At 47.5% G+C, this 13,350-nt stretch overlaps 1 protein-coding gene across 3 annotated transcripts in view; it reads right to left on the reverse strand.

Moving 5' to 3' along the window:
• PSAP (prosaposin) overlaps window positions 1–13,350 on the reverse strand; it is a 34,954-nt gene that overhangs the window by 6,122 nt on the left and 15,482 nt on the right. Inside the window, exons 2-8 of one of the 3 annotated variants that reach the window (NM_001042466.3) lie at window positions 11,953–12,086; window positions 9,427–9,501; window positions 8,707–8,832; window positions 6,458–6,658; window positions 5,595–5,738; window positions 3,418–3,474; window positions 1,469–1,474 (exon numbers count right to left, since the gene is read on the reverse strand). In NM_001042466.3, the coding sequence (NP_001035931.1) occupies window positions 1,469–1,474; window positions 3,418–3,474; window positions 5,595–5,738; window positions 6,458–6,658; window positions 8,707–8,832; window positions 9,427–9,501; window positions 11,953–12,086 (743 nt within the window). Of the gene's footprint in view, window positions 1–1,468; window positions 1,478–3,417; window positions 3,475–5,594; window positions 5,739–6,457; window positions 6,659–8,706; window positions 8,833–9,426; window positions 9,502–11,952; window positions 12,087–13,350 lie in introns of all 3 variants that reach the window. The other 2 variants (NM_001042465.3, NM_002778.4) reach the window with 2 other exon arrangements.

A 13,350-nucleotide genomic window follows, 5' to 3' on the forward strand; every position in this document is an offset into this window, starting at 1 on the left:
CAAATGTGTTAGAAATAAAACCACACCAGATTTTTCAGCGGCAGGACCATTTAAAATGATGCATTAAGGGGAAATGCTGGCTTTTTAAAAAACCACATTCTATGTTCAAGCTGCACACAGTGCACATGAAAACCCAACCCGCCAAATGGATGAATCATTTTAAGCCACAAGGTCTCCAGATTGATCCCCTTTCACCATTTAGACACCAAACACAGAGCACTAGATAGTCTAGACATCCTGACCATGACACTCTGATGGCCAAGAGTGAGACAAGTGTATAGACTCTGTATATTGTGGAAATAAATGCAACCAGCAACTAGCTCTGAGCCTGAGTGCATTTGCCTTCCAGCACCAAACCCTAAAGCAGCAGGAACAAAAGTGCTAAAAACAGGACCTGTTAAGGGAAAAGAGCTAGACCATGACTATGGCTCATCTTGTTTTAATATCAAGAAGGTTCGAGAATTAATAAGACCGGGGGAGTCTGAAAAGTATATCCCAAATACCCTGTCTCTGCCACACCTTAAGAATGAAAAATAAATAAATAAATAAATAAATAATAAGAACGCAGCTGAAGATACAGCAAGCTTTTTAGAAAAAAAAAAAAGACGCCAATATTCAGGAGGTATAGGGCTGCTTCTGCCTCGATCAGCTTTGTTCCAACTCCTTGAGGAGGCCTAGGTAAAAATTCAGGTATTTCAACCAAAGTCCTCTCCCATTAGACTTCAAAATACCTTCAAAAAAAGCTCCAATGCTAATCCTAGCAGATGGATGCCAACGCTCAGAGGTGGCAGTGTTCAGGACGGCCCCGAAGGACACTGGCTCAGAGCAAGTATGGACTGGGCATTTGGTTCTTGTAGCATGCCATCTGATGTGGCTCTAGATCCCAAAGGACCCTGTTACCCAGAGGGGCAGAAGCCACAATCAAGAGATTGTTTCCAATTCTCTGGATCCAACAGCCAGGAACAGTCTGCTGGCTGTCTGCAAATGTTTGCTCATGCAGCAGAAGCATTTCTGTGTTTATGAAAAACAGCACTAAAGACATGCAATGCCTACTTGCGTTGTGACAGACACAAGGTGCCCTGGGGAAGCCAGACCTACACTGGACTTCCTAACTGGCCTACGTTGAAGGAGGCTGAGGCACCTCCTGGGCCACCCATGGTTCCCCATTGTCACACTGGTGGCCTGCATGTACGTATGCTGTATGTGGACTGTGACCAGAGCACAAGGCTCTGCTGGCTTCATTTTACTGGACCCCGAAGGGGAGATGAGACCCCCAAAACCTCAAGGGCTGAATTACAGGGGAGAGATGCAGAAGCCCTCCCCAGCCTATTAACAGAGAGGGAGCCTGCCTCTCGTAACCATTCCTTGTATCTGTCAGAGCTAATCATGCCATACCCAAAAAAAAAAAAAGCAAAGTAACTAGAGGAAGCAGCAGACCACTACTGCAAGCAGATTCCCCGACACATACCTGATCCTGCTGTTGAACAAAAAAACAGGAAATCGGAGGTGAAAATAAGAGAAAGGAAAGGACACAACAGTTAAGAAAAATTAAAACAACAATCAAGCAGTTAACCAGGTGTAAGGATGTCCCAAGAGGTTCAGGGGAAATGCTCTTGCAATCAGATCTTAGCAACCTACCTTGTTCCTGCTATCTTGCGGACAAGGGGGCCCTGAAAGCTTTCCTGGCCCTGCAGGGATAGACCATTTGGGGGCTGTCCTGCTCTGTGTGCACCATCTCCAGGTCTTACACACTAAATCACACTCAAAACACTGTGTAGCAAGAGCCCCAGAAAATGCTTGATGAAGGGTCTCCATACTCAGGAGCCCACACTGGCCCCGGGCCCACAAGGCTTTCCCACAGGTTAGTGACCAGCAGCACCACAGAACAAGACACAGGGCTGCCCAAGTAAGGGGGGTAAGGGATCCCTGAGGGGTAAGGGATCCTAGGGCAATCTACTGCAGGTGGCCAAATGGCAGCCTGGAAGGCCAATTTAACAATGTATCCAAAGCCTCATGCTTCCATTCAGCAGTTCCAGCTTTAGTTCTCTATAATAAGGGGAAAGGCAGGGATATGCATATATGTATGCATTTGGCTATAAGGATATTCATCTTCCCAAAGGCAAACCTGAAAACAACCTAGATACATCCGGCCACCGGGGACCAATTATGTAAATTCTCTTCTATGTACACAGGTGATTATTCTGCAAGCATTTAGTCATTTGTACAAGAATATTCAATGGCCAACATATTTTTAGGCAAAAAATGCAAACTACAAAGTACAAGGTAGTATATATGAACCCGTTGATATATTCTGAAACTCCAAATGATTTTTGTGTGGGAAGTATTGTCCATATTTTCAACACATTTCTACACAGTATAACTTTTATAATGAGAAAAATATTTTAAGTTAGCTATGAGGAAGTACTTCACGAGATTAAATCCCGTCAATGCTTATCTTTACCTACTTCAGGTGCATGTCTCTGTAAGCTGCCTTTTAACTGTTTTTAGAACATGGTAGGGTGTGAGTAATAATCCCAAATAAACTACTCCTCCTCAGCTTGCTTGAGTGGTTACAGCAGGTCAGAGAGTCAATCTTTCAGGCTCCTTGGCCATAAGATCTGGCTGCAACTACTCAACTGTGCTGCTGTAGCACAAAACAGGCGTCGCTGTGTTCCAAAAAAATACCCTTTAAGTACAAAACATGATGGGCCAGTTTGCTGACCCCTGGATCAGAGAACAAACTCAAACGCTGGTATGTCAATCTCAAGTAGTCAGAAAGCATGACAGACAGGGAAAAGGTGCCCCCCACCCACTCAGCCCTGCCAATCAGATCTAAGGAGGCAGTGCCCGTTCCCAACGTGAGCAGGCCGCCCTGCTCTGCGTGGACTAGCGAGCTCATTTCCTGAATGGGTATTCTTGATTCTAATGAAGGAATGCCCCCTGCCACCTGAATGCATCCAAAGCCAGCTCAGGAGTTACCAGCTCAAGCAGCAGCTTCAGCGGACGCTGCTGCCATGCACGGGACAAACTCCGGGAGGCAGTATTCCCCCGACTCAGGTGGCAACACAGCCATTCTCAGGCCTGGCTTAGTTAGAGAGCACTTGACTTCTACAGATCCCAGGGTTAAAGCCAGACCTAGAAACCTGATGGCTGGCCTGAACGGGCAGAGGCAAACAAATTGCCAGGAAGCCACCAGGGCAGTCCTGGGATCAAGATGCTTCAGCCTGCCTCTCCCGTAACAGGGGAGGTACTGAGATTGCAAGTGGAGAGTCTCCTAGCCAGAGGGGTCGATTTAGCCCAATTCAGCACTCTAAGGTAAAAAAGGGAAACTAAACCATATAATTTTCAAAATTCCTAGAAATGACGAAACCTGAAAAACAAAGAAAAATGCTAACAAGGGGCCTCCGTGCCACCTACCATGTGCATCATCATCTGGATAGCAATTTCAGAATACTGGCTGATATAGTTCTTGCACTGAGGAGAGAGAAACAGATTGCTAAACAAATCACTGCAACAATGCACCAAAACCCAACCAACAAAAACCCCCCAGCATTTCCAACAGTGTCAACTGGTGACTATCAAGCAAGTTTCTAAAGTAGAATTTTATGAATGTCTGCTCTGGGCCAGCTTTAATAAGATGAAAATGACAATTTGGTTACTCTATCATTTATAGGAAATGTGTGCAAAAGACGTTTTGAAAATGTTTCTTAAGGGACCTTAAAGATTCCACCCTCCTGTCTCCTTTATCTTATAACCTCACGTGCCCCAGGATCACACAGCAACTATTCAGTGGCAATTTGGAGAGAAGGCAGCTAGGAGATACACTGCTTAGGAACTGGAGCTTACCTTTCAAAGCCATTTACACAATCTCAGATGGCATTATAAAGCTTAAATCCAGTAGAGTCAAGTTATAATGATTTTTAACTGCTTATTTTCAGACAATCTAGATACTTCCAGTAGACTCCACAGAATTGCTCCTTGTATTTGGGGAGCTTCTACAGAGAGAGGACCAAAGGTAACATGATACAGCCTCTCAGAGAGGGTTCAACTGGGAAACCTGTTTAAATGGTGTTATGCAAAGACACTTAAAATGAGGCTACAGGATTCCTAGGCTTTCAAAATGAATGAATGTTCACCTGATTAACATTCCTAACGGAAAGTCAGAGAGAAACCCTCAGCTGGGCGTGGTGGCTCACTCCTGTAATCCCAGCTACTTGGGAGGCTGAGAAGAGGATTGTTTGAGCCCAGGAGGTAAAGGCTGCAGTGAGCTATGATTGTGCCACCGCACTCCAGCCTGGGTGACAGAGCTAAACCCTGTCTCAAGAAAAAAAAAAAAATGGAGAAGGCCTCATCTCCTAGAGCCGGCCACTCCACCCAAAAAGCCTCGCTAGATCCCAAAGGACAGAGTAATTACAACCAGCTTCTCAGCTGCCAGTCTAGCAGGTTTCTTCAGTTGTCAGGTACTAAAAATGGCATTTTGGTTTTACACATCCACCTGAGTGTGATTAATAATCTTGGAATAGGGTCCCAGAATGAAACGATCTAAGTAAGGGGCCAAGAAAATGAGTTTCTGAGCCCACAGGACTAAGGGAGGCTTCCAGGTGAACCATGGTCAGCGACCATGCTTGCTGCAGGAGCACAGCTGGAATTCTCAGTGTCACATACATTAGCCAAGCTTTCAAAAATGGGGTAAATGGCCGGGCGCGGTGGCTCACGCCTGTAATCCCAGCACTTTGGGAGGCCGAGGCAGGCGGATCATGAGGTCAGGAGATCGAGACCATCCTGGCTAACACAGTGAAACCCCGTCTCCACTAAAAAATACAAAAATAATTAGCCGGGCATGGTGGCGGGCACTTGTAGTCCCAGCTACTCAGGAGGCTGAGGCAGGAGAATGGCGTGAACCCGGGAGGCGGAGCTTGCAGTGAGCCGAGATCGCGCCACTGCATTTCAGCCTGGGCGACAGAGCGAGACTCCGTCTCAAAAAAGAAAAAAAAAAAAGAAAAGAAAAGAAAAAAATGGGGTAAAGGCCGGGCGCAGAGACTCACGCCTGTAATCCTAGCACTTTGGGAGGCTGAAGCGGGCAGATCACTTGAGATCAGGAGTTTGAGACCAGCCTGACAAACACGGTGAAACCCCATCTCTACTAAAAATACAAAAATTAGCTGGGCGTGATTGCACACACCTGTAATCCCAGCTACTCGGGAGGCTAAGGCAGGAGAATCCCTGGAACCCATGAGGTAGAGGTTGCAGTGAGCTGAGATCACGCCACTGCACTCCAGCCTGGGCAACAGAGCAACACTCAGTCTCAAAAAAAAAAAAAAAAAATGGGGGCAAAAAGTATTTCTACAGTGTTCCTAATACACAGGGTGCCTGGCAGGAAACAAAATCTTCCCAGAAACAGTCTCCTACTTTTTGTTCCCAGTTTTGTTACATATCCAGATGCCATTAACCAAAATAGATTCAAGTCTGCACTACCTATTCAAGCTGCTTTCTGGGAAAAAAGAGAAGGATGTTGTCTGAACGCCCTACTCCAGCCTCCACAGCCCAACTCCCAGGCCCAGAACATCCCCAATGCACAAGGACACAAGGCTCACTATGTCGGCCATGCCAGGGCCCAGGCGGTCACACTCCTCCTTGACATGTTCCACCAAGGCCTGGACAAAGGTGGAGTTGGTCCGTACAGCAGTCTGGATGTCAGTCACCATCTGAATGCAGTCCTGGCAAACGTCCCCATTATCCTACAGAAGAGGCAGTTAGGTTTGCAACTTAAGAGGACTCAAATTCCTAGGAAAACGTCCTTATATACTCAGGGCTGCAGCATTAGGGGGCACTTGCTGACCAGTTCCTAAGATGCTTTACAGGCTCTCAAATTACTGATAGGCTTAAAATCGATTAAGTGTTCATTATAGTAACAGTATGGTATAAAAAGGGGGTTTAGTATAAATAAAAAGGTTGGCCAGGCACAGTGGCTCACACCTGTAATCCCAGCACTTTGGGAAGCCGAGGCAGGCAGATCGCTTGAACCCAGGAGTTTGAGACCAGTCTGAGCAACATGGCAAAACAAAAAATACAAAAATTAGCCAGGTGTGGTGGTGTGCATTTGTACTCCCAGCTACTTAGGAGGCTAAGGTGGGAGGATCACTTAAGCCTCAGAGGTTGAGGCTGCAGTGAACCATGATCACACCACTGCACTCCAGCTTGGGTGACAGAACGAGACCCTGTCTCAAAAATAAAAGAAGTAAATTTTTTTAAAGGGGATTAATCTTTGCATATTTTAAATATCCCATTCTTTAGAAACTTCATGGTACAACCATTTAAAGGCTGGCTCATGTGACTGCAGAGTCACGCACAGGGATAAGCCCCAGTTTAAGAACCACACGTGCCCTCTCTGTCCCTTTGGTCTCTCATCTCCAGTGCAACCAAAAATGGGTCCTCAGTGGCCAGCCCGTTGTCTTACCTTTGGCTGGGGCTTGCTGCGGGGGCCGTCCTGAGGGTAGAGGAGGAGAGGGATGTTGGCCATGAAGGGGGCCACCACCTCAGTCATGTCCAGCTCTGGGATCTTATTGGACTCCAGCTGCTTCTGGTGATTCAGCTCTGCTAGGTGCTTCTGGAGAGACTCGCAGAGGTTGAGAGCAGAGCACACCTCCCCAGGACGGCTCTGGTGGGATGGAAAGAAGTCCTGCTGAAAATCCTCTCCCCAGGGGAAAATAAGACAGGCCATCTAGTGCCTCTGAATTAGTCCCTCTCTTTAAATCCCTTAAAAGAAACACAAACCTGTTGTCTAAATTCAAACTGCTCAGCATACCAAGAATGACAAAATTACCCAATCCGAGTGCCTAACCACACAGTGGCCCCTAAGCTTCCTCAATTCTCCTATTAGGCAATGATGCAGTTTGGCTGTGTCCCCACCCAAATCTCATCTTGAACTGTAGCTGCCATAGTCCCCACGTGTCATGTGAGGGACCTAGTGGGAGGTAACTGAATCACGGGGGCGGGTTTTCCCATGCTGTTTAGTGATAGTAAGTCTCATGATCTGATGGTTTTATAAAGGGCAGTTCCCCTGCACATGCTCTCTTGCCTGCTGCCATGTAAGATGTGGCTTTGCTCCTCCTTCACCTTCCACCATGATTTTGAGGCCCCCCCAGCCACGTGGAACTGTGAGTCCATTAAACCTTTTTTTCTTTTTTTATAAATTACCCAGTCTCGGGTATGTCTTTATTAGTAGCATGAAAACGGACTAATACAGGCTTCCTAAATGTTACCTCTTTCCCCTCAGCTCTTCTTTAAAGGAACAGGAGGCCAGGCGCAGTGGCTCACACCTGTAATCCCAGCACTTTGTGAGGCCGAGGCGGGCGGATCGCCTGAGGTCAGGAGTTCAAGACCACCCTGGCCAATGTGGTAAAACCCCATCTCTACAAAAATACAAAAATTAGCCGGGCATGATGGTGGGTGCCTGTGATCCCAGCTACTTGGGAGGCTGAGATGGGAGAATCACTTGAACCCGGAAGGCAGAGGTGCTGTCAGTCAAGATCGCGCCATTGCACTCCAGGCTGGGCGACAGAGTGAGACTCAGTCTCAAAAAAATAAATAAATAAATAAATAAAGGAATAGGAGCTTCTTGCTGGAGGAGAAGAGTCAGCAATTCTAAGTCACTTCCCCACAAAATGAGCTAACACGATGGCTTTCAACACCTTCCATATGCTGATGGCTCCCAAGTGTTTAACTTCTGTAATCATGCCCACCCTGCAGACATCTCAAACTTACCCCTCATTCTATCCTGCCCAACTAGCTCCATTTTAGCAAATAACTCCACCTTTATCTTCTCAGAAACCAGGGAGACATTTATAGCTCTTCCTCTCCTATACATCCCCCTCATGAGCAAGTCCAGTCCATTTAATCCTCCAAAAGAGAATCTGCATCTGCCATTTCCACTGTCCACATCACATCTCACTCACAAAGCAATGACCTCCTGAGGGTCCTGTCAGCTTCCGGACTTGCAGCTTCCCTCAATGGGACCTAGACCTAGACCAAACCCTTTGACAAATGCCCTTACAATCATGACACTCCAAGGCTGCACTTGCAATCCTTGAAGATGGCCTAGGAGGCTGTGTATGACACAACCCCTGCCTTCCTCACCAGAACCTTGGTCCTGTCTTGGGAAAGTCCTGCCCCACTGGCCCTCTTCAGTTACTTAAACACCTCTTCTTTGTCAAGGCCTTTCCAAATTCCACAAAGCTAGCTCCGTGTTCTTTGCTAAAAACCCAGTCTGTGACACAGGGTTTGTGTCTGTGTACAATACATACTTGATGAATGAAAGACCCCAATACATTCCCTGAATTATTCCTTGATTATAAGTTCACAGAAATAAATTCACAGAAGTGAGGTTTTGTGCCTGCTCAAAGGGGTCAGTTAAAGATTGGACATGATGTATCCAACTCACATCTCTGAAGGTTATGCCGGTTTACATTCCTTCAGCAGTCCGACCAGTCCCCAGCAGCCGCACCCTCGCTAACCCCAGGGCAAGTTACATACAGAGTGGCCTGCTGTGCCAAAGGAGCTATTCTGGATGTCAAATTGTAGCAAAATGCTGTTGAGGAATTCCAGAGCTAAGAACAGACTTTCCATTTTAATCAATCTACTCTGGGCCACTGCCTCTCCTGGGCCCCAGAAGCACCTTCAAGGAAAAGCCTATTCCCCATCACTTACCATTTCTCCTTTAATGATGTCCAGGATGACAGGGAGGTAGGAGTCCACTATCTCCTTGCATGAAGCAGACATGTTCGGTTTCGGAAGCCAGTCACAGGTCTTCTCCAAGTAAACAAGGATCTCCTCCTACGAGAGGACACCAGGGTCAGAATCACGATAGGCTTTCCTCCCTGGAAATAAATGGGCTGAAGGCAAGAGGCCCTCAATAGCTCCCAGAAAAACCAAGCCTGGAAAACAGCCAGCCCTCAGGGAAAAGGACTTGGCCATGTTACCTATGGCTCTATTAGGTCAATCAGGCAAAAGCAGACATGAGCATTCAAAATGAAAATCCCTGGACCTGCAGTCTCGCAGGCACAGGGAATTCTAAGCAGAGATGGCCAAAATGGACCTAGGTATTAGTGGCATGCAATACAACATCTCAATTAACTTTGGGCATTTAGTCCCGGGGTCAGCAAAGTAGGCCCTTCAGCTTATTTCTGTACAACCCAGAACTCAAGGAATGGTGTTTACATTCTTTTTACATTTTTAAAAAGAGACTGTGTGACAGGGACAGTATACGGCTCATATACCCTAAAATCTTTTCTCCTTGATCCTTTGTGGAAGACATTTGCCACCCTCAGGCCTACACCATTCCTCTTTAGACACCCGGAATCACAGCTCTCTTAGGAACCAGTGCACGTGCCCGTGGCTCAAGCACCATCCCCACTCACCGCCGCTCACCTCAGTGGCATTGTCCTTCAGCATATCACCAGCTGCGGTGACAACGTCTTTGCATATGTCGCAGGGAAGGGATTTCTAAGAGAAAGAATACGAGAAATTTGTATTTGCAGGACACAAATTCACACCCCACACAGCTGGAACTCCCCATGGCCTTTTCGCTATTCTCTCTAACCAGGGATATGATCATGACCGCGCTCCTGTCACATCCTGGTTCTCCACCCTGCATGAGCAGCGCTGGGGCACGGCAGGGAGGGAAGAGGTGTGACTCACCAGAACACACTGTGAGTTACAGGACACAGAACCTTTGCTCATACCCACACAGCACCCCATGTGGCACAGGTCAATTTCACATCAATGCTCACAACACCTCTGAGGAAACTGAGGCTCAGGTGAAATCAGAGTCACATCAGTATGGCAGAGAGGTGGGTGGGACAGAGAAACAAACGCCCCACCCACCTCTGAAGGCACACCCACACTGAACCGTTCACCTGCGCATCCCCTGCCTCCCAGGCATGTTAACAAGGCAAGACCACACCAAAGCCAATCTTCTGATTGGCACCAAGGCCCCCACCTGGACCAGAGGCCATGGAAATTCTAATTGGTTCCTGCGGCCCTTGGGGAAGAATGCCCAGGCTCCCTTCTTGATGTCAACTGACTTTCCATCCATGGAGAAGAAACATGTCTGGGTGAGACTGAGGAACACCTATGAACTTAGCTGCATTTAGAGAAACCAACTTGAACCTAGTCAGGCTAATACAGTCATCCTTTGGTATCTGAGGGGGTATCAATTCCAGGACCCCCATGGACACCCAAACCCCAGGATGCTCAAGTTCCACAGACAGCCCTCAACATTTGTGGAAACAGAGGGTCAAGGGTACTGTGCATGGAACCATATCAAGAGAGGGCCGGGCCGGGCGTGGTGGCTCACTTGGGAGGCCGAGGCGGGCAGATCACGAGGTCAGGAGTTCGAGACCAGCCTGACCAGCATGTTGAAAACCCCATCTCTACTAAAAATACAAAAATTAGCCGGGCATGGTGGCGTACACCTATAATCCCAGCTACTTGGCAGGCTGAGGCAGAAGAATTGCTTGAACCCGGGAGGCGGAGGTTGCAGTGAGCCAAGATCGTGCCACTGCACTCCAGCCTAGGCAACAGAGTGAGAGTCCATCTCAAAAAAAAAAAAAAACAAAAAACAAAAACAGAAGGCCGGGCCATGACAAGACCAGCCAATCAAGTTTTAAAGTCCTTACGGGACACACATTAAACCTGGAAACAGGAAGTAGTATTAAAAACAAGATTGAAGGCAAATTAGAAACCAAATCTGAAAGTAGTTTCAGGCCAGTCGTGGTAGCCCACGCCTGTAATCACAGCACTATGGGAGGCAGGAGGATGACCTTAGCCCAGGAGTTCAAGACCAGCCTGGGCAACATGGTAAAAACACTATCTCTACAAAAAATACAAAAATTAGCCAGGCATACTGGTCCACATCTGTGGTTCCAGTACTCAGGAGGCTGAGGTGGGAGGATTGCTTGAGCCTAGGAGGTTGAGGCTGCAGTGAGCCATGATTGTGCCACTGCACTCCAGCCTAGGTGACAGAGCCAGACCCTGCCTCCAAAAAAAAGGGCAAGTATGGCCACAGAAGGCAGTTTTCCAGTGAATAATTCACAAACTGTTTCTAAAAGAATGGTGCTAAGCTTTCTTCTCTTACTGAAGGAGCAGTAGTGGCCACTGACAAGTTTTTTAGAACCCAAAGTCCACTCAGTCAAACACAGCCCGTACCACATGATGGCCGGCACAGCCCCAAGTGAGCCCAGGGCAGCAGCTCTGTGTTGAGCTGGCATGGTCAGCAGAGCATCTCCTGAGAGGGCTTGGGACCGTGAGGAACACACCCATGGCTTGTCGCCTTAGACCATGCCCCACATTAATACGCTACATTTAGCATTATTTAGATGAAAAATCAGTGCTAGCTTCCTCAGTGTGGTTACAGCTGGAAACCAATTTTAAATGGCAACTGCACTCCAGGATCTCAATCAGCAGTTTGCCTGTTTGAGAGGAGTGAGGAGAGAACAAAATATGAAACAGGCAGAAAGTACCTGAAAAGCTCAGCATTTACTTTTTGGAGTGAGTGACCAAGGATAGAGCCGCGCCCATGTGCCCAGTGGTGGGAATGGGCACTGCCAACCCACTGGCCTCTTATCTAAGGTGAGAAGTGGGATCTGCACAGAGGCCCAGAGGCAGCATGGGGCAGGCACCTGGAGCCGCAGGCATGGGGGACCTCATCCTGTCTGCCACAAGAAACCAGGTAGCCTCAGGAGAGTGAAACCTTAACCTCTCTGAGCCTCCATCTCCTCTGCTGTAAAATGGGTACATTCACCAATAGGTCCTGCCTCCCACACAGAGTCACAGTGAGAAGTAAACAAAACAAGGCAAGAAAAAGTGCTCTGTCAATATGGCAGTGAGTTACAGCTGTTCTAAGGGGACCCAAGAGGAGTGCTGCGGCTGGGACTGGAGGGCAGCGGCACTCACCACTGTTGGCTTGTTCCAAACGGTCTGCAGGCAGTGCTTCACTGCCCCGCAGTCGGACGCCGTCTTCACATTCTGGCACCACACTGCCGAGCCCCTGGTGCATTCTTTCAGTCCAAGGACCGGGCCGGCTAGAGCTAAAATGAAAACCAACGTGAGGAGGTGGCCCATTTTGTAGCAAACCAGGTCGACCTGACTTATTTCCCCAGGGCTGAGGGCGACTGTCCTTGAGCTGGACTCTGCTACTCAGCCCCTCACCAAGCTGTATGGGACACCAGCCACACAGATACACGCCTGTCCCGGTCAAGAAGCTGGCTTGTCTGTCACAGGGCTAGAAGGGACTCATGTATCTGGTTCACGTTCATCCTCTCTAGCTACCTTTAAACAGTATCAGGGAGTATCAGAACTTTAACCTTAAAATGTTTCCATAAGTAATAAGGTATCATCATAACCTTAAAATGTTTCCATAAGTAACAAAAGAAACCATAGGAGAAAAGACTAACAAATTCAAATACAGGGAAGATTTTGACTTCTGTAAAATGGATAACAACTGTAGAATGAAGGGTTTTTTTAAAAAAGAAAAACAGGCTGGGCACGGTGGCTCACGCCTATAATCCCAGCACTTTGGGAGGCCAAGGTGGGTGGATCACGACGTCAGGAGATCAAGACCATCCTGGCTAACACAGTGAAACCCCATCTCTACTAAAAATACAAAAAAAAACAATTAGCCAGGTGTGGTGGCGGGCGCCTGTAGTTCCAGCTACTCGGGAGGCTGAGGCAGGAGAATGGCGTGAATCCGGGAGGCGGAGCTGGCAGTGAGCCTGGGTGACAGAGCGAGACTCCGTTTCAAAAAATAAATAAATAAATAAATAAATAAATAAAATAAAAATTAAAATTAAAAAAAATTCATACCCTTATAACATAAAACAATGGCCAGCTGCCGGTGGCTCATGCCTATAATCTCAGCACTTTGAGAGGCCGAGGTGGGGTCAGTTGAGTCCAGGAGTTCGAGACCAGCCTGGGCAACATGGCAAAACCTCATCTCTACAAAAAATTAGCCGGGCATGGTAGCACGCACCTGTGATCCCAGCTACTCGAGAGACTGAGGTGGGAGGATAGCTTGAGCCCAGGAGGCAGAGGTTGTAGTGAGCCGAGATCTCACCACTGCACTCCAGCGGTGAGCTACCATACCTAGCCCTAAAAATATTTTATAAACTGCCTTGAGAGTGCCTATGTTTCTTAAAACAGGTCCTTGATTTTAGAACCAAAAAAATGGGGAAAAAAATCCTCAGATTCACATCTCACTTCTAGCCCAATTATTTAGCTAGGAAACAAGAGATTACATCGGACTACACATAGAGGATGGTGGCATGAGGGTCAAACTCCAACAGGCATCTCAGT

Source organism: Homo sapiens, chromosome 10 (assembly GCF_000001405.40).
Source record: "Homo sapiens chromosome 10, GRCh38.p14 Primary Assembly".
Taxonomy (NCBI): Eukaryota; Metazoa; Chordata; class Mammalia; order Primates; family Hominidae; genus Homo; species Homo sapiens.